This window comes from Homo sapiens, chromosome 12, assembly GCF_000001405.40.
Source record: "Homo sapiens chromosome 12, GRCh38.p14 Primary Assembly".
Taxonomy (NCBI): Eukaryota; Metazoa; Chordata; class Mammalia; order Primates; family Hominidae; genus Homo; species Homo sapiens.
The window spans coordinates 71276305-71298531 of NC_000012.12; the positions used below are offsets into that span (position 1 = coordinate 71276305).

The 22227-nt window shown below is 36.6% G+C and overlaps 1 long non-coding RNA gene across 2 annotated transcripts in view, besides 1 other annotated feature; it reads right to left on the reverse strand.

Annotated features, from left to right (window-relative positions):
- Window positions 1-1047: 1047 nt before the first annotated feature.
- The window catches only part of LOC105369832 (uncharacterized), a 38018-nt gene continuing 16838 nt past the window's right edge, over window positions 1048-22227 (reverse strand). The window contains exons 1-3 of one of the 2 annotated variants that reach the window (XR_001749198.2): window positions 19576-19766; window positions 6412-6515; window positions 1048-1108 (exon numbers count right to left, since the gene is read on the reverse strand). This is a non-coding gene — a long non-coding RNA (uncharacterized LOC105369832). Of the gene's footprint in view, window positions 1109-6411; window positions 6516-19575; window positions 19767-22227 lie in introns of those variants that run through there. The other variant, XR_001749199.1, reaches the window with a different exon arrangement.
- Window positions 5735-6267: an enhancer, noted in NCBI's record as "NANOG hESC enhancer chr12:71675819-71676351 (GRCh37/hg19 assembly coordinates)". NCBI's record gives its function as "activates a minimal SCP1, AML or CMV promoter by ChIP-STARR-seq in primed H9 embryonic stem cells {active_cell/tissue: H9 hESC(primed)}" and the evidence as "EXISTENCE:reporter gene assay evidence [ECO:0000049][PMID:30033119]".

Sequence of the window (22227 nt, forward strand, 5' to 3'; positions counted from 1 at the left end):
GAGCACAAGTTAACAAATTCCTCAATATTCACAAGTTCACTTATCAGGGCAGGTTCACAGTGATTTCATTTATCAGTATTAACTTCTATTTGCTCCCAGAGAAGAATTTTTCACATATGGTTTTTCTAACTCTATTTTGTGTCCCTCTTTTTCATATTTCCATTGCCATATTCTGTTTTATTCAAGCAGCTTAAAACATCACAGTGTCTCTCTACCCATGCAACATTGTCTTTTCATTTCTATAATATGCACTTTTTTATTTTAATAGAATCTTGGACTGCTTAGTTGTATTTCTAGAACATCAAGCCAGAAGTTCTTGCTATTTTTTCCAGTTATTTCTTCCAAAATATATCACATTACTTTACTCTTAAAGCTTACATCATTCTCTTTCATCCCTGGCAAAGAATGACTACAACTATGCCTCTTGGAGTAATACTTAGTTATTTGATAATCAAAATTCTCATAGCATATTCTCCAGGCATCCCATGCTGATTTATTTTTGACTCTTTTTCTGGTAATAAAACATTGCTTAAAAAAATTCTGTGATGTCTGATTCATGGCTTCAAATAGACTTTCCCTTTCCCATTTTGACCTTTCCTTTCTTGACTTAGATCTCAGAAAATATGAGGAGGCACCTAAAGGAAAATAAGCCCTCATGTCCCACTAGCAGATAAATCTTAAATAGTTCTCCTTGACCTTATTCTTTGTTCTCTTTTTTAAGCATTAACTCCCCCTGCCCTGGATTGCTTTAGGTGATGGGAAGTTTTTCCAGACTAATGCCACCATGGGCCATCCCTGTTATGAAGTCCTTTAGCATTTACACTTAAAATATGAAACATATTACTGTACATCTGCTGAAATAATATTGCTAGATATGTGTATGTGCAGATAATTGTTTTGACTCATCAAGTAAAGGGTTGTTTCTTTTGCATCTTGCTTACTACTTATACAAATCATGAGAAGGCAACTATTACCAAATAAATACTTGAGGTATTCTATTGAATTGGTTGTTTATTCATTCATCCAACCTATTCAGTGTTACTCACTGTGCTAGCTGCTGTATGTACACGGATAAATCAGATGGTCTTATCTCCCAGCAGTTCATAGTCTAGAGGGAAAAAAGAAAAGAAAAACAAGAAAATAGACACACAGAATACAAAATCTGCAAGAAGCATGGAATTAAAAAGAAGAACCTGCTAAGTAAGTGTAAAATGAGGGTGGAAGAAGGAAAGAGTGGAAACAGGAGGACCAGTAGAACTTTAATGAGGCAAAAGACACGAGGGACAAAGTGCTCCAGGCAGAAGGCAAAGCAAAGAAGGAGGTACTGAGGTTGTGATGGAATGGTTGGGTAATGTGCATGTTTCCACAAAGCTATAGAGAAGAATCTTGAGAAATGGTGAGAGGTGAAGCTAAGAAGATGGCCAGAGCCAGATTATAAGGGACCTTGTATGGTATGTTGATCTCATACTTAGATCTCAGAAAGTATGAGGATGGACCTGAAGGAAAATAAGCCTTCATGTCCCACTAACAGATCAACCTTAAATATAGTTCTCTTTGACATTATTCTTTTCTTTGTTCTCTGTTTTAAGCATTAAATCCCCCTCTCCTGGATTGTTTTAGCTAATGTGAATGAAGCCTTTCCTGACTAAGGCCACCATGGGCCATCCGTCTGTTTTGAAGTGCTTTAGCACTTACATTTAAAATATGGAACACACTGCAGTATGTCTACTGTAACAGTGTTGCTAGTATGTGTGTACCTGTACTTTGCCCTGCCCACTGCTGGTCTGAGACTAGTCATTTGACTTCTGACTAGGACCAGGCAAGTGACTTCAGGTTCTGTCTGCTCCTCAGGTATCTGTTTTCCAATACTTGAAATTTCTTTCATTCCAGGCTGTACCCTCAGTCTCACACTCCATGCCAAATACTACTGTCAGATTATCTATATTCTTGTATTTTTCTCTCTCACATCTCTGTTATTACATCTCCAGTGTTTGATTACCTATGAAATACAGCAGAAATCCTGCACAATATGACCTCAAAAGTATCTCCACTATCATTTCCCATTTCCCCCTAAACACACTGTTTATGAATGGGAGCTATGGTTTCTCAATTCCACGTCCTGGCTCAAGCAGTTCTTTCCGCAATGTCCTTTCCATTTTCTGTCTGCTCAAACCTTCTCAGTCTTCTAGTCATGTCTCCCACATTACTTTGTCTTCTTAGAATCAACAGTGTATTTCATTTCTATTCTTTCAGCATTTATTGTTCTCTGCTCTGTCTTTGCATTTATTTATTTTATTCATCTGACAAAAATGACTGCTCCTTGATGGTCAGAACAAAGTCTTAGCCATGTTTTTTAATTTTCCCTAGTACATTGCACCATTTCTTAAGCAGAGGTGCTAGGTTAACATCAAATTAGAACATACTAAATTTGTGACCATTATTAATGAAGCTTAGTTAATCTACTCTTTTCTTCATAAATGATCATAGTAGTTACTTTATCACCTCAAATTACTTTACTATGTTATTTACAAGGAAGGTAGAGGCTGATGTCTTATCTCTATTTTATAGAAGTAAACATTTGAGTAATAAGGAGTTAAAAAATTTACTTAAGAGATTCGGGACTGGCATCTAAGTTCCTGATACCAATTCAGTATTTGTTTAGACTACGCTAGATCTAAGATGCTTTCCCTTGAAGAGATTAAAAGGTAAGCTTTAAGAAAATATTAAGAATTGCTTTTACTACTATTTATCATCAATACTGGAGGAAAGATAATGAAAAAGTTGTTAAATGTAAGTAAAAAAATAAGTTAGGTGGTTTCTAGTTTCATAACTCAGAGATATAAAGATTTCAATTAAAGGGATAGAAAGTGAAGACATAGTTTAGAGTGATCTAAGTTAATTTGAACTATTCTGGGTTTTAATATACTGAAAATAAATTTATTCAAAGCCATTTCACTACATGGCAAACCCACCCATAGACCATTTGGAGGAAAATGTCAGATCAATATCCTAAGGCCGTAAGAACCTTTGTTGCAACCATTTGAGGGCAGATTCAGGTGTGAAGACAACCTCACCAATATATAAAAGGCTATAAACTGTATTTAAGAAACATACCACCCATTCACAAATAAAGCATAAAGATTTGAGGAATACTAGTCATCCAAATTTTAAAACTTGCATAAAATTTGCATCCAGCTTTAAGTTAAACCAATAACAGCTTAGGAAAATGGCTAAGGCAAAAAGACTATAGTGAAATTAAAACGTTTTGAAAAACAATCTTCTGTCTATAACTCATCAATTGTTGGCAAATTGACCTTTTGGAAACTAATTTTCAGTAAATTGTCCTGTTTCCAGTTTGGAAAAATGTCTGGCCTCAGTTACTTACACACACTTCTTCTATTAAGGTTCTAGGTTTGTGTATAGATACTGCAGCTGATCTCCAATCCAAGGCCATAGTGTGAACCTTGACTCTATTACAACTAGTACTGCTTTTCTTACTTATGTCCTTCTTTAAGATTTTAAGTTCTATGATGATCAAGACCATACACCATATCTTATGATTCTATGTGCCAATATCTTGCACACTGTTTTATATTTGGTAGCTAGCACTGTTAGCTATTGAGTGAGAGCAGGGCATTAACCTAATTATCTCACTTTTGACAGGGCAATTAGGGGAACTCTCAAAAGATATTTCCTCCTTATCGTGGTTCAATAGTTTCATCTTTATATACAAAAGATATGGTAATTTTGCAACTAAATTGAGCTTATTCTTGAGCTGAATAGAGTTTAGCTGCCCTATTATAATCTCATTCAACTTGACTAAATACTTTTCTTGATTGGCAATTGGAAAAGGAACCCTATATTATCCTTCTAAATCCTACCAATTATTGAATAATGTTTATCTAAAAAACCTTGAATTACAAGATATTTCTGTCATTATTAATGATTACTTTCAGTCGGAATTTGAATTACTTTAATCACTTGTTCTTTCTGTTTTGTAATGAAGCAAAGCCCAACAAAAAAGCAAAGCTTCTCAAGCTATAAGCCAGGGCTCCTGGCTATTTTATTATTTTAGAAATGCCTCTCTCCAGATATATTGACCCTGAGACAGCCTGCTTTATCTCTGATCTACAGGGAGGAAGGCCATACCGTATCATATCTGGTATCCGAGATTTCTCTCCTACATTTCAGAGGTCCTGAACTCTTCTGCAATTACCTCCTAGAGTCTCCTTGATTCTCAGCCCTGAAAGTCTCTAGTTTGATCTAGCCTGTGTTGTGTCTTTTTCTGAACTATTTATTAGCTTGTTGTTAATGCTTCTCATGAAATCTGATTAATGCCCATTATTCTAAGCTGTATTTTGCTTACATGCTATCATATATTATCATAGTATTTTCTATATTATATTTTAGCTATACCCACACCTGACTTTCCCATTTGATTCTGAACATTCTTTTTGCCCTTTGTCCTCAAATAGACAGTTGTCCTTGATAATATATTCTTTCACACTAGGAAGATTCCCCTTTTATAGATGTGAAATGATTAGGTGTCCAAATCCCCTAAAATGTAATCTACTCAAATCCTAAAACTACCAGAACTTGAACTCCATAACAGCAAGGAGCTTCCTTGTCACGTCCATCATTAAATCCTAGTTCACAGAACATGCCTGGCAATAATCACTACTAGTCTCAATAATGCTTGTGGCACAAAAGAATACAATTAGTCCTTTGTATCTACGGGTTCTGCATCCATGTATCAACCAACCATAGATCGCAAATATTCCAAAAAGTTGCACTTGTCCTGAACAGGTACAGACTTTCTTCTTGTTGTTATTTTCTGAACAGTAAATTGTAATAACTACTTACACAGCATTTGCATTGTATTAGATATTATAAATAATCTAGAGATGATTTGGATTATACAAGAGAATGTGCATAGGTTGTATGCAAATGCTAGGCCATTTTACATCAGGAACTTGAGCATCCTCAGGTTTTGGTATCTGAGGAGGGAACTGAAAGCAATCCCCCCCGGATACTGAAAGATAACTGCACTTTGTTAATATGCGACATTATGAAAGGAACAGTGTTCAGTTGGTCTTTTTAGATATTTATAAATCATAAGGACTGCAACATTATTTTCAAGACTTAGAGACAGAACAGCATTTTTATGTAACAGTGATTCTTAAAATTTTCATCACTGATATATTTCGTTCATGGTGGTTTCACAGGAAACATTTATATCTGAATATGCAAATAATTGTCAGTTTTTAAGTTTTACAGTTTCTGGGCTTTCTGCTTTCAAAGTGACTGCCACTCCCACATAGAAACTCAAGCAACTGCTATTAACTTGGGTAGGGTAGCGTATTCTAGGCTGGCTTCAAGTTAGGCATCCTTTAGGATGACTTCAAGAGTCAGGCCATGCCACCCCCTAGAAGTTTCCTGTGTGTTCTGAGTGGTCCAAACTGTTCCCTGACATGGAATGTCCTGAGACCCTGATCTATCTGAGGCTCAGGAGCACTGTGGAAAATAATTTAAACCTGTCCAGCAACTTAGGTTTGCATGTGTGCTGATTCTGTGGGACTAGGATTCCCTAAAAGAGACCAGATTGGAGGAAGAAACAGTGGAATATTGAAAGAAAAACTGCCCGAGAGGAGGCAAAGCCTGGCCAAGTGGGCAGAGTGAGCATAAAAGGAAGCCAGCCTTCCAGGGACTGAGTCTGACCACTGGGTCCAAGCCTGGGTTCGAGCCTGAGTTTGAGCCTGGGTGGAGGGGAGCAGAGGTCCAGAGGGCTATTAGGGGTCTAGAGATCCAGACAGTGAGGATGGCAGCAGATCAATGGTGCTCACTGCAAAAAAAAAAAAAGTGGGGGAGGGAGGTGGAGGGGCTCTTGGAACAGCAGACACAAGAGCAGAGAGCATAAACTGGAGAGGCAACTGCTCCAATTACAAAGGAGACCCTCCTGGCCTTTTCGCTGGTGAAAGCTCAATGAGGTGAGAACGACTAGCTTTCCAACCAAACAATGCTCAAAGGACAGATTCCCACCCCCACCTCCAGTTAGAGGAAATATAGATTGTATGAGTAAGAAGCCTCAAGCTGAAAGGAAAAAAACGAAACTTTAAAAAAATTCAAGTCATGTCACTAATTCAGCTCCTAGCAGCCTTTTCAATGAAAGTGTAGACTCATGGAAAAAGAAAAACAACATGTATTTGAAAATTTGTTTTGTCCTTACAAGAGATGGTGGAGAGATGCAGATATTCTAGCCACAATTGGAAATAGAAGTATAGTGCCCCTGAAGCCATGCCAGCAAGGTGTGCTTACCCTCAGTGCGGGGTGTGGTGGGAGAAGGACATTCAATATTTCAGGGGTATTCAGCATGAGTGTTTCAAAGAAATACCACTGACAGGAGTTACTTACCAACTTGCTAGTACCTTGACAAGAAGTGGTGTATTCCAGTTCCGAGATTGCAGAGATGTCTGGGTCCAGAAGGCATGAGGTCTGGAGCAACAAGCCCACTGGACCTGAAATAATAGCAACCACTTACTACTTGCTGGGTACGTTCTATGTTCTTTGCATCTACTGTATTCACTTATTAATTTAATCCTCAAAACAACTCTATGAGATATCATATATATATATATATATATATTCAATATCTATGATATACGGATTGTTATTAAACCCAATTTTATAAAGGAGGGAATTGAGGTACAAAAAGGCTGAGTAATTTCCTCAAAGTCACACAGTTGGTGAGTAGCAGAGTTGAAATTCAAACCCAGATTGTCAGGCTGCACAGTCTGTACTCCTAACCCTAGTGTCTTCGTGCCTATGTGATGACACTTCTTTAGCACTTACACTGCACCAGGTTCCCTTCCAAGCACTAGGTTAACCCATTTGCGGTACGAAGTGAAGATAAGGATAGTGGAAGTTAAAATTTACCTAGGGCTTCTTCTATTCCGAAGTAATTTTTAAAAAGAAAATAACTGAGATTCTCTAATCTCCACTACTGAAGAATATAACTTGATAAGGAAATGAACTAATATAAAGAAAGAATGGATGCAATAAAAATCCCAATTTTTAAAATCATGGGATTCTTTTTTTCTCCTTTAATTGTTATTTTTTGTTCAGGGGTACATGTGCAGGCTTATTATATAGGTGAACACATGTCATGGGGGTTTGGTGTACAGATTATTTCATCACCCAGGTACTAAGCATAGAATCCAATAGGTATTTTTTCTGATCCTCTGCCTTTCACCCTCCACCCTCAAGTAGGCCCCAGTGTCTGTTGTTTCCCTCTGAAAATCACAGGATTCTAATGTTAAATAAACAGTAAGTAGATTCGCATCATTAAATCATAGAATACTACAGAATAAAAGTGAATGGAAAAGAAAGAGCTAAATGTATCAACCTTAGCAGATCCTCAAAAAAGTAAAAATGTTGAGTGAAAAAAAATCAAGTTGCAAAATACTACGTGCAGTGTGATACCATTTATATAAAGTTTTAAGATATGCAAAATAATTCTATACATTTTCTTAGTAGGGAAAGATATGTAGTAACATCCTAAAGACATGAATGAGAATGATAACCACCCAATTCCAAATGCTGGCTACCTCTGCACAGGAGGAAGGATATATGAATGCGGAGAATATCTAAGGGAATCAATCTGTTTTTCATATTTTATTTATTAGGTTGTGTGATAGTACATTACTGTTCTCTCTCCACAAACCTGAAAACTTCTAAAATGAAGAAATCATTAAGTAGTTTCAGACTAGATGGTAATGCCATAGATAGATAGATAGATAGATAGATAGATAGATAGATAGATAGATAGATAGATATAGATAGATAGATAATCACACACATATACACATTTCCATTCAGATAAATAACCTATGTCTCTCTTCTCATGTCTGTCTTTTAGGAATACTTTTCTCCACTAGATCAAAAGGAAATCTCTTGAAAAGAAAGCTGTAGCTGTACATAATACATATACTGGGTATCTTCCATTCTACTTGCCATACTCTGCACCCTGCTCTGTGCCTTGGGAGGCTAACCTGAATCAACTGCATCAACAGGACTTTCACACCTTCTGGGCCCTGGTTGGATTCAGCCAATGGTAAGCTCCCATGAAATCAGAGGAAAAGAGGAGAGGGAGGTTATGGTATTTATTCCCTTGTCTTCCTTCTGGTAGGCTGTCTTGACTTGGCAGACTCCTTCACCAAAAAAAAATTGCTCTTTTCAAAACAATTCAACATAAATCTTTCTATATTCTGGTTTCTTCTAGTTCCAGTAACTACTCTCTGCCTCAGTTCTTTGTGCTTATGAGTGGTAAACTATTGAGTTGCTATTATTAGCTCCTGGTTCCTGCACTATCCCTTGCAAATAATCTATTTAAAAATAAACTCTTCTTGAGTTGCCCCTCATATGTCACTAGTTTTATTCTCTTATCTTCAGATATTTTATGCCTTAACTAGCCTTTCATTCCCTAAAAACTGAAAATATATGCATCTTTATATATCCATTTATGTATGTATGTATTTTTTCTTTTATAGTGTTAAAACAAACTGGGATCCAGAGACATGAAGGGCCTTGCATACAGTAAGCATTCACTAATATAAAGGCACTTCCTGATGATTGTCCAAGTCCCTGGCTAATTGTTCATGTCTGCCCTCTGTCAGGACTGCCTGGCACTGCCTGAACTGGTCTCCTCCTTTGACATCTGCGAGCCCCACTTGGCCCAGGTACCCCTGCCTTGGGACCGTAACCCATTCACTTATTGAATTGCCAGCATGGTACATTTCCCACCTTGGCCCTGGTGCAGGCTGGCCCACTCCATGACCTCCACCACGTGGACAAAAACCCTCAGAAGGTGCAGGAATGTAGGGGTGGGCTTCATTAGGCCCCAGGCACCTGTGGGGAGAGGCCACTGGCTACTGCTGGAAGGAACGTAGGGAATCATCTACAGTCCAACTCATGTAAGAACACTTTACATGAGATCTACCTTCTTAAATTGTAAGTGCACACTACAGTATTGTTAACTATATGCCCAATGTTGTACAGATCTCTAGAACTTGTTCCTCTTGTATAATTGAAACAGTATACCTATTGAACAGCAACTCTCAATTTTCCCTTACCCTGACCCCTGCCAACCACCATTCAACTCTCTGTTTCTATGAGTCTATTTTAGATACCTCATATAAGTAAAGTCATGCAGTATTTGTCCTTCTGTGACCAACTTATTTTATTTAGCCCAACGTCCTCCAGAGTCATCCATGTTGTTGCATATTGCAGGATTTCCTTATTTTTTAAGGCTGAATAGTATTCCATTGTATTACATGTAGTTAGCACATTTTCTTTATCCATTCATCCATCAGTAGACATTTAGGTTGTTTCTGTATTGTGGCTATTGTGAATAGTCTTGCAAAGAACATGAGTATGCTATCTCTTCAAGATCCAGATTTTAATTACTTTGGACATATACCCAGAAATGAGATTTTTGGATCATATGGTGGTTCTATTTTTAATTTTTTGAGGAACCTCCATACTATTTTCCATAGCAGCTGCACCATTTTACATTCCCATCAACAGTATTCAAAGGTTTCCATTTCTCCACATTCTCACCAACCCTTGTTAGCTCTTTTTATATAAAACAGTCATCCTGACAGGTGTGAGATAATATCGTAGTTCTGATTTGCATTTCCATGATGATTAGTGAGGTTGGGCATCTTTTCATATACCTATTGGTCATTTGTATGTAATCTTTGGAGAAATATGTATTTGAGTCTTTTGCTCATTTTTAACTAGGTTATTAGTTTATTTTATATTGAGTTATAAAAGTCCCTTATATATTTTGGATATTAACCCCTTTCAAGATACATGTTTTGTAAATATTTTTTCCATTCTGTAGATTGCATTTTCATTTTGTTGATTGCTTCCTTTTCCGTGTAGTTTTTAGTTTGATATAATCACACTTGCCTATTTTTGCTTTTGTTGTTTCTGATTTGGTGTTATATGCAAGAAATCATTGCTTAAACCTATGTCATGAAGCTTTTACCCTATGTCTTCTTCCAGTTTTACAGTTTAAGGTCTTACACTTAAATCTTCAATGTATTTTGGGTTTACTTTTGTGTGTGATGTAAGATAAGGCTAACTTCATTCTTCTGTATGTGGATATCCAGTTTTCCCTGTACCATTTGTTGAAAAGACTCCTTTCTACATTATCTATTCTTGGCATCTTTGTTGAAAATCAACTGGCTGTTTATGAATGAGTTTATTTCTGAGCTCTATAGTATATATAGACCATTGGTCTATATATTTGTTTTTATGCTAATACTATACATTTTAATTTGTATAGCTTTGTAATATTGAAATTGGGAAGTGTGATACCTTCAGCTTTGTTCTTCTTGCTCAAGATTGCTTTGTCTATTCATGGCCTTTTGTGGTATCATCTGAATTTTAGGATTGTTTTTGCAATTCTGTAAAAAATGCCATTGGGATTCTGATAGGAATGTTAATGAATCTGTAGATTGCTTTGGGTATTAAGGACATTTTTAACAATATTAAGCCTTCCAATCCATGAACCAGAGATATTTTTTAATTTATTTGTGTCTATTTAAAATTTTTTATCAAAATTATACACTTTTCAGTGTACAAGTTTTTTACCTCCTTGGTTAAATTCATTCCTAAATATTTTATTCTTTTCAATAGTTTTGTAAATGGAAATCTGTTATGCCTTCTAACAGTATTTTTTCTCAAAGTCTTGATATCTACATTTAACATCATGCCATCTGAAAATAGAGAAAACATTACTCCTTCCTTACCAAATTGGCTCTCTTTTGTTTCTTTTTCTTGCCTAATTGCTCTCCCTAGGATTTCCAAGAGTATATTAAATAGAAGTGGCAAGAGTGGCCATCCTTGCCTTGATCGTGATCTTAGAAGAAAAGCTTTTGGTTTTTCCCTTTTGAGTGTGATGTTAGTGGTGAGTTTGTCATATATAATTTTAGTTGTGTTCAGGTAAATTCCTTCTACACCTAGTTTGTTCAGAGTTTTTATTATGAAAGGGCACTGTTTTTTTTTTCAAACGCTTTTTCTACATCTACCGAGATTATCTTGCAGTTTTTTTATGCTTCATTCTGTTGATGTGGTATGTCATATTAATTGATTAGCATACGTTGAACTATCCTTACATCCCAGGGATAAATCCCACTTGGACATGGTGTATGATCCTTTTAATGTACCGTTGAATTTGGTTTTCTTACACTTTACTGAGGATTTTTACATCTATGTCATGAGGGATCTTGACTTGTAGCTTTCTTTTCCTGTAATATCTTTGCCTGGCTTTGGTATCAAAGTAATATTGGCTTCATAAAATGAGTATGGAAGCATTTCCTTTTCTTGACTTTTTGGAAAAGTTTAAGAAGAATTGGTGTTAATTATTTTTTAAATGTTTGATAGAAGTCACCAGTGAATCCAACTGGTCCTGAGCTGTTCTTTGTTGAGCGTTTATTACTGAAACAGTCTCCTTATTAATTATTGGTCAATTCACTTTTTCTATTCGTAATTTACTCTTGGTAGATAGTATATTTTTAGGAATTCTTCTGGTCATCCAATTTGTTGGTGCATAATTGTTCATAGTATTCTTTGATAATCTTTTATTTCTCTGGCATCAGTTGTAATATCTCCTCTCTAATTTCTGATTTTATTTATTTGAATCTTCACTATTTTTATTTCAGATAGTCTAGCTAATGGTTTTTAAATTTTGTTGATCTTTTAAAAAAAAACCAACGCTTGGTTTTATTGATTTTTTCCATTGTATTTATAGTTTCAATTTCAAATTCTAATATTTATTATTTCCTCCCTTACTTTGTTCTTCTTTTTCTAGTTCATTGAGGAATAAAGCTAGATTGTTTAAGATCTTTCTCCTTTTTTAACATATGCATTTATCACTATGAATGGCTCTCTTTTGCTGCACTCCATAGTTTTGCTACATTGTTCAAGTCCATTGTTTCCCTACTAAGTTTCTGTTCTACTCATTATTGAAAGTGGTGTATTGAAGTATTTTACTAGTATTTTAATGTGGTCTATTTCTCCCTTCAGATATGTCAGTGTTGCTTCATATATTTGGGTGCTCTGATATTTGAGGTGCATATACATTTATAATTATTATATATTTCTGGTGAATTGACCATTACTATTGTGTAATGACTTTATTTGTCTTTTGTGACAGTTTTGCCTTCAAGTCAATTTTGTCTGATATGAATCTTGCTACCTCTGCTCTCTTTTGGTCACCATTTGCATGGAATATTTAAGAACACACTTACAGTGTGTTCTTAAATCTAAAGTGAGTCTCTTGTAGACAGCATATAGTTTGATGTTATTTTTATTTATCCACTCAGCTACTTTATATTTTTTGAATGATAGTTTAATCCACTTACATTTAAAGTAATTTTTTTCTTTTTTTTTTTTTTGAGACAAAGCCTCACTCTGTCACCCAGGCTGGAGTGCAGTGGCACGAACTCAGCTCACTGTAACCTCCACCTTCTAGGTTCAAGCCACTCTCCCCTGTCAGCCTCCTGAGTAGCTGGGATTACAGGCACGTGCCACCACACCTGGCTACTTTTTGTATTTTTAGTAGAGATGGAGTTTCATCATGTTGGCCAGGCTGGTCTTGAACTCCTGACCTCAAGTGATCCACCCGCCTCGGCCTCCCAAAGTGCTGGGATTACAGGTGTGAGCCACCGCTCCTGGCCTTAAAGTAATTATTGATGGAGTTAAACTTACTATTGCCATTTTTTTCAAATTTTTTCTGTCTTTCTTGTATTTCTTTTGTCTCTCTTTTCCTCTTTTGTTGTATATCTTTGTAATTTGTTGATCTTTTTTGTAGCAATATGCTTTGATTCCTTTCTCATTTTCTTTTGTGTGTCTTCCATAGGTATTTGTGGTTTCCATGATGCTTACATAAAACATGTTATATTAATAGTTATAACAATATATTTTAAGCTGATAACAACTTGACTTTGATCACCTACAAAAGCTTTACAATTTTACCTCTCACACATTCACTCTTATATTATTGATGTCACAATTTACACTTTTTAATATTGTATATTTATTGACAAGTTTTTGTAGTTATAGTTATTCCTAGTACTTTCGTCTTTTAACTTTTAAGCTAGAATTAAAAGTGATTTACTCACCACCATTACCATATTATAGTATTCTATATTTGTCCTTTAGGCTTCCTTAATCTGAATGTCCATTTTTCTGACCAGATTTGGAAAGTTTTGGGCCATTATTTTGTTAACTTTTTTTCTGCGTTTTTTTCTCTTTCTTTTGGGACTCCCATAACAAATGTTGGTTCACTTGATGGTGTTCCATAAATCCCATAGACTCCCTTCACTCTTTTTCATTCTTTTTTTCCTTGTGCTATTATAACTAGATACTTTAAAATGACTGGTTGTCAAGTTTATTGACTCTCTTTTGCTTGATAAAGTCTACTGTTGAAGCCCACTAGTACATTTTTCTGTTCCTTTATCATATTCTTTAGATATAATTTGTTTTAGGCCTTTTTTATAATTTCTATTTGTTGATATTCTGATTTTGTTCATATTTCACTTTTCTGAATTAACTTAGTTATCTATCTGTGTTCTGTAACTCACTGAGCTTTCTTAAGACTATTATTTTAAATTTTTGTCAGGCAATTCAGAAATCTGCATTTCTTTGGGGCTAATTACTGGAGATTATTTTATATCTTTGACTGTGTTCAATATGAAAGGAAAGCATGTTTACGATATGATAAATAATCACCTGAAGGTAAGAAACTCACTAGTAATAGTAAGTATACAGAAACACACCGGTTTGTTTCTGGGTTCTCTATTCTGTTCCATTGGTCCATGTGTCTGTTTTTATTCCAGTAGCAGGCTATTTTGGATACTAATACTTCTGTAGTATAATGAGAAGTCAGGTAATGTGATTCTTCCAATTTTATTCTTTTTGCTTAGGATAGCTTTGGCTATTCTGGGTCTTTTGTGGTTCCATATGGATTTTGGAATTCTTTTTGTATTTCTGTGAAAAATTGTGTTGGTATTTTGATAGGGATTGCATTGAATCTATGGATTGCTTTGGGTACTTTAAACATTTTAGCAATATTGATTCTTCCAATCCATGAATATGAAATATCTTTTCATTTTTTGGTGAAGTCTTCGATTTCTTTCATCAGTGTTTGATAGTTTTCATTAAAGAGATCTTTCACTTCTTGGTTAAGTTAATTTCAAGGTATTTAATTTCTTGGTTGGCTATTGTAAATGGGATTACTTTTTTATTTTTTTTCCACATTGTTCACTACTGGCATACAGAAAGAAATGCAACTGATTCTTGTACATTGATTTCATATCCTGCAACTTTACTGAATTTATCAGTTTTAATATATTTTTTGGTGGATTCTTTAGGTTTTTCCTAATATAAGATCATATCATCTGCAAATAAGGATAATCTGACTTCTTCTTTTTCAATTTGAATGTGCTTTATATCTTTCTTTTGTCTGATTGCTCTAGCTAGGACTTCCAGTACTATGCTGAATAATAGTGGTGACAGTGGGCATACCTTCAAGGAGACTTATTTACTATCATGAGAACAATATGGGAAAAACCTGCCCCCATGATTCAATTACCTCCCACTGGGTCCCTCCCACAACACGTGGGGATTCTCACAATTCAAGGTAATATTTGGGTGGGAACACAGAGCCAAATCATATCTCTCTGCCCCTAGTCCCTCCCAAATCTCATGCCCTCACATTTCAAAACCAATCATGCCTTCCCAACAGTCCCCCAAAGTGTTAACTCATTTCAGCATTAACTCAAAAGTCCACAGTCCAAAGTATCATCAGAGACAAGGCAAGTCCCTTCTACCTTTACCTACTATAAAATCAAAAGCAAGTTAGTTACTTCCTAGATAAAATGGGGGTACAAGCATTGGGTAAATACACCTGTTCCAAATGAGAGAAATTAGTCAAAATGAAGGGACTACAGGCCCCACGCAAGTCTGAAATCCAGCGAGGCACCCAAATCTTAAACTCCAAAATGATCTCCTTTGACTCCATGTCTCATATCCAGGTCACACTGATGTAAGAGTTGGGTTCCCATGGTCTTGGGTAGCTCCATTCCTGTGGCTTTTCAGTGTACAACCTCCCTCCTGGCTGCTTTCATGGGTTGGCATTGAGTATCTGTGGCTTTTCCAGGTGCATGATGCAAGCTGTTAGTGGATCTACAATTCTTAGGTCTGTACGATAGTAGTCCTCTTCTCACAACTCCACTAGGCAGTGCCTCAGTTGGGAGTCTATGTGGGGGTTCCAACCTTACATTTCCCTTCTGCACTGCCCTAGCAGAGGTTCTCAATGAGAACCCCACTCCTGCAGCAAACTTCTGCCTGGACATCCAGGAGTTTCCATACATCTTCTGAAATCTAGGCAGAGGTTCCCAAACTTCTATTCTTGACTTCTGTGCACCCACAGGATCAACACCATGTGGAAGCTACCAAGGCTGAGGACTTGCACCCTCTGAAGCCACAGTCTGAGCCATACCTTGACCCCTTTTAGCCACAGTTGAAATGGGATGCAGGGAACCAAGTCCTTAGGCTGCACCAACCAGAGGGACCCCAGGCCTGGCCCGCTAAACCATTTTTTCCTCCTAGGCCTCTGGGCCTGCAATGGGAGGGGCTGCTGCAAAGATCTCTGACATGCTTTGAAGACATTTTCTTGTCTTGGAAATTAACACTTTGTTCCTCATTACTTATGCTAATTTCTGCAGCCGGCTTGATTTTTTTTCTCAGAAAAATGGGTTTTTCTTTTCTATCACATCATCAGGCTGCAAATTTTCCAAACTTTTGGAAAAAGTCCACAAGTCACCTCTTGAATGCTTTGCTGCTTAGAAATTTCTTCCACCAGATACCCTAAATCATCTCTCTCAATTTCAAAGTTCCACAGATCTCTAGGGCAGGGGCAAAATGCCACCAGTCTCTTTGCTAAAGCCATAACAAGAGTCACCTTTGCTCCAGTTCCCAACACGTTCATCATCTCCATCTGAGACTGCCTCGAACTGAAGTTCATTGTCCGTATCACTATCAGCATTTTGGTCAAAAACATTCAACAAGTCTCTAGGAAGTTTCAAACTTTTTTCACATCTTTCTGTCTTCTGAGCTCTCCAAGTATCTAAGAAGTTCCAACCTTTCCCACATTTTCCTATCATCTTCTGAGCCCTCCAAACTGTTCCAACCCCTGCCTATTACCCAGTTCCAAAGCCAATTCCACATTTTTGGGTATCTCTACAGCAGCATCCCATTCTACTGGTACCAATTTACTGTACTAGTCCATTCTTATGCTGCTAACAAAGACATACCCCAAACTTGGTAATTTATAAAGGAAAGAGGTTTAATGGACTCACTATCATGAGAACAGCATGGGAAAAACCTGCCCCCATGATTCAATTACTGCCCACCGAGTCCCTCCCATGACACATGGGGATTATTACAATTCAAGGTGAGATTTGAGTGGGGACACAGAGCCAAATCATATCAAGCGTATACCACCAAAGGATTAATATGCCATTATATAAAAAAACTAAGAAACCCTCAGTGTTTTGATATAGAAGATCTCCAAGATATATCATGATGTGTAAAAACCAAGGGGCAGATTTTCCATTTGCTATGTAAGAAGCTGGAAGTCAGCCCTCTGTCCTAACAACTAAAAAGCTAAACAAACTAAAATATCACAAACCTTCACAGATTCATCAGAGACGTGGGAGTCATAGGGCAAACAGCTGCCCTCAAAATTGGAGAGACTGACAGTTGAACACACAGCTGGAGGCCATTATTCTAAGTGAAGGAACTCAGGAAGGGAAAACCAAATACTGTATGTTCTCACTGACAAGTGGGAACTAAGCTATAAGTATTCAAAGGCATAGAGTGGCATAATGGACACTGGAGACTCAGAAGAGGAGAAGGTGGGAGGGGAGTGACAGACAAACAACTACATATTGGGTAAAATGTACACTACTCAGGTGATGGGTGCAGTAAAATCTCAGACTTCACCATTACACAATGCACCCATGTAACCAGAAATCACTTGTACCCCGGAAGCTATTGAAATAAAATATATATATATAAAAAATTAAAGGACTGGAGTGAACTAGCTTAGGTCCTTTTGGCTCTTCTACTCTTCTGCCATTTGAGGACATAGCATTTTTCCCCCTTCTGCCCTTCCATTGCTTCTTCTATGTGAGGACAAAATGTTCCTCTCCTCCAGAGGAGCAGCAACATGGTGCCATCTGGAAGCAGAGAGAAGTCTTCACCAGACACCAATATTGTTAGCACCTTAATCTTGGACTTCCTAGCTAGCAGAACCATGAGGAATAAATTTTTATTATTTATAAATTACCCAGTGTGTGATTATTTTGTTACAGTAACACAAATGGACTAAGACATTATTCATTAATGTCCGAATACATTCTACCACACCAGTGTTTAGAGAAATTAAACTATGGCATTCACGTTTGCCTGAGACAACAGTTAGTTATTCCCACCATGAAGATGGCTTTCTTCAATTGGTCTCCTTTTATCTAATCAGTCTTACTTCCTTCCAGGCCTGCATTCCTCTTTCCATCTCCTCTTTTTCTGCTCTCTTCTCTTAACACTTTTTCTGCTCTCTTGCTTTCTCTTTGCAAAAACCTGTCCCTCATACAAGCATTACTGAGCCACACAGGCAGCATTCAAGACTAGATTTTTCATTATCTGTACCAAAGATTCTCATCATGTAAATCTCACCACTTGACTGCCCCCCAAAAAACTCTAATTTTGACTTTATTTATTACTTTCATGTCAAGTCTCTATTCCGTCATAAAACATTTTTATCTTAAAAGCCAAAACCTGAAGAATCGTTTAGCCAACAGCAACACCATCTGATTCACCATTTGAAGTTCATTAACTGTGTTCTCATTCTAGCCCCATTACTTATTTATCACTTCCCATTAGCTGAAAATCCACTCTCAAAACTAAAGGCCATAGGGAAATGTATTATTTGCATGTATGCTCATCTCTGTGCCAAACAGAATTTCTATTTCCAAAAATGGTATAAAAATAGTTTGAAGGTAGAAGTTTAATGGATAAAATGGAACAAAACTTAAAAGAAAAGCCACATTGACCCATTATTGTTTATTACAAGCTGTTTGTACACCCATGGAGTAATATGAGGCATAGAAAACACCAGTACTCAACAAGATTTTTCTTAGCCAAAGTAGATAGTTACCAGAGACAATGTTTGTTTATATCTATCTTATTTAATATAATTTTCATACTTTTTTATAGAGGATAATAAAAAGACATTCAAATTAATGGAAAGACAAAATGTGGTGGTTTATGAAATAAGCTTTGGAATCAGACCTACTATCTGTGTGATCATATGAAAACACACTTAGTTTCATCTCAAAATGGTGATGACAATTTTCATCTCCATAAGACTGTTGTGAAAATTATATGAGAATATGTCAAGTACTTAGCATAGAACATGGCACATAGTAAACAGTTAAAATTAGCTATTAACATTACTATTTTTAGAGCCCAGGTTGATATACCCTTACCATGGTTGACATGCAAAATCTAAACTTCATGGTCCTCTGCAACTCATCTCTGGTAAAACTGTACGACCACTTGCAAGCACCCATTTCACTATGGCTTTCACCTTATTCTGTGTGCTCATCTGAATTACAGGCTACCACTAGAACTGTGCAGAAAATAAAGCAGCCCTCCTCTCAGAAAAAGGTTATTTTTTAAATCAAACTTGTAATACACATTCACTGAAAAAAAAAATATCATCTCTGATGTCATTATTAAACCTCGTGTCTTCCAGCCTGGAAGATATCAGACTAGGCCTTAGGTAAATGGTTAAATGATAAAGTTGTAACAACAGTAAAGTCATCATCATCATAATAAGGACAAAATAAAGAAGGAGAAAATAACCATGCCAGAAAAGAGTAAGAGCAAGAAAGTAAGAACAAGAGAGTAAATCAATTTAAAATTTGAAACTGGGAAATAAAAGGAGAAGCAGTTCTGCTGAACATAATCCAGACCTGAAAGTGCATTATAGGAAAGAAGAAAAAGATAAACCCCTCAATCAAACTCAAATCACGTTCTAGCCCTGGCCGGACCCCTATGGTCAGCTGATGTGTTTACAAGAAATGTACAAGTCTGCATTAGTTCCTAATTAGGTTAGGATGGCTGCCAAAGAAAATAGCCGTATTTTTAAACGTATGGTTATGGTTACAAATGGATACCAAAAGCCTTGACACTTAAGTGTCCATGACAATAGCCCCCAACTGAATCTCCCTAATTGGTCCCCCAAGGTTGAACCAGAAACATGTTTTATTCCCACAGAAGCCTGCCCTCAAGCCTGCCCTAGAAGCCACAGCATCTAGAAAATGGCACAACATCAACTCATTAAATTCAGTGACATGAATAACTTGGGTTGGTATGAAGGCAAAAAGTAATTGATTTAAAAGAATTGTGGATTTTATTATTCTATTTACCTCTAGCACTCACCTGCTAAGAATGTCCTTTGATAGTGGTTTCTTTACAAATCTTGGATGTTTATTCAGGAAGAAAATAAAATTAACTGCCTCTATATAAAATGTGGACCCCTTTTTGTCCCACACAAGCCATTCTGAGAAATAAAATAATTGACTAAATTACCCAAATCAGATTAAATTGTCCTTTCAGTTTAATTTATTCTTATAAAGCAGGTCAATAAATAATAAGATTATACCATTTGGAATCATCATCAGTGGCATCGCCTCCAATGAATCATGCAGATGGAATTCTTGCAGATTACAAATCTAAACCCAATGTGTCTTATAATCCAACAAAATGTCATCAAAAGGCTCAAGGAATCCCTTTTTACACTGCACTGCCAAGGAAAAAAGTGGGAAAAATCTAAAGTGTCTGGAGAGCAGAGAAATCCTCTTGAACCACTCATGCCAAATAGCACATATATTTTATGTAGACATAATTTTTCTGCCATTTATTTTCCCAAGTTAAATGTTTGTCTTTAATGAGCCTTAAGAATATTGAAAATGGCATTTATTGTTAATGAAAATTCCTTCCTTCCTCCTGCAAAATTCAGTGCTGGATCAAAAGTAGTAAGTGGAATATCATGCAAATGCAATGAACCGTTATTCCTCACTCCAGAATTATATCAGGAGACCACTGGAATATTGCATTCATTTAAGATGGGTACATTGTCCACAATACAAAAATATTAATGTCATTTCTACTTAAATGTTATAGGGATCCAGCCCAACAAACCCATGGGAATTCCTGTAAACTCAATTTCACGCTCTCAAGAAAGATAAAGGGAACTACATGATCCTAGGGCTGAATAAAGTGTCTTATGTTCATCAGTTGCCTAAAATCCTGGCTCCCAATTAGGGGCCATTTGCATCCCAAGAGACATTTGGCAATTTCTGCAAATATTTTTGGTTGTCACAACTGGGAGGAGAAGAGGTGCTATTGGCATTTAGTAGGCAGAAACCAGGAACATTGCTAAACATTGTATAATACACAGCACAGCAACACCACCACCCCTCAAAAAGCATAAAAATCATGTGATCCAATATGTCAACAGCTCAGAAAACAACATCCCTGAGTCATTGTAAGAAATATTCTACATATATGGGAATACAATAGTTTCATTTTTTTGGTCAGCATCATCATCCAAATCCTCAAAGCATTATCTTAATATTAACAACAAAATAGATCATGTGTATCGAGCTGTTTCTTTATATGGTCTCTGCTATCCAGAGTTTTTTTCATACATAGTTTAATCCTCCCAGCGGCCCACTAATAAAAAAACTGTTGATTGTCACCATTTTACAGTCCAGAAAAATGAGGCAGAGGGAATTTGTGACCCACCCAGTTCACATAACTACAAAGAAGTGGAATGCAAACCCAGGTCTATCTAACTTCAGAAACAAACCCTTAATGCACACTGGCCCCCACCCCCAAATTAGTAAAATAAATGGAAACCTGAGGAGAAAACTTAGAGGCAAAAATAGAAAGACAGGATTTTTTTAAAAAATGAGCTGCTAGATGAGGTTAACTTGATGTTAACACCCCCAGTACCACTATTCAGTCTCTTTTCTTTCAATACATGTAATGACTAGAAACAGCCCAAGTTGCATATATTGAATTAACCCAATTTCCTTCTGGGTAGTTCTCCAAGCCTTATTTTATAGTTAAAAAAAATCCATGTCTAAACTAATTCAGAACTGACTTGTGTACATAAAAATAACTAATATTTTCCATGGAATCTTGAAGCAAGATTCTGGGCCTGATTGTGTTGAGTGTGTGAGGCGCAGCAGGCTACCTAGTCTTCTAACTATTTTGTTTTGTGTGGGAGACCCGATTAGAACTATTCTATACTGGCTTTGGCATCGTAACCCAACTTAGGCTAAACAAGACGGTAGGGTGGGCCCCTGCAGGCACTAGCATTTCAAGAACACACACACAGACACAACTGTAATTTGAAATGGAAACAGCTAATTGTTGCCATCTGTGTCTGAGTAAAGTGTCCTTCATCATCGGTATGGGGGCAGAATTGAGGAGATAAGGGAAGCATAGATAAGTTATGTAAAAGAAAAAGGGTCAAAAATATTCTTCACAGGAGGGCAATAAGTGGTTGTTTTTAACTAGCTGGTAAGAACATCCAGGCACAATAAAAAAGCAGAGTTGACAGCAGCATACCATAGCTGGGCCTTCAACTTAATGGTTAATAAAAACACAGTAGTGGTAATTTTTTAAGTATTGCATAAGAGTGTTTTTTTAACAAAGGCTCATAAGATTGGAAGTAAATGAGACAAGTGTTTCTAAACTATTTAGCTCTGCTTCACTCCAAATGGATTTTCATTATTCTATGATTATTCTACCAAAGTCCTGATTTTACCATTATCCCTTGTATATCCCTCTATTACAGCCCTCATCACACAGCATTGCATTGGTCTACTAATTTATTGTCTTCTTCATTAGGCTGTGAATCTCTTGAGAACAGTAACTAGTCCATGTTTATACTGTTATCCCCAGGACATAGTATGGCATTTGGCATATAGTAGGTGCCTAAGACGATATTAACAAATACAGTAATGTCATCTTGAGGAAGATCCTAGGAATACAGAACAAGCTTATTTCTGTTAAATATTT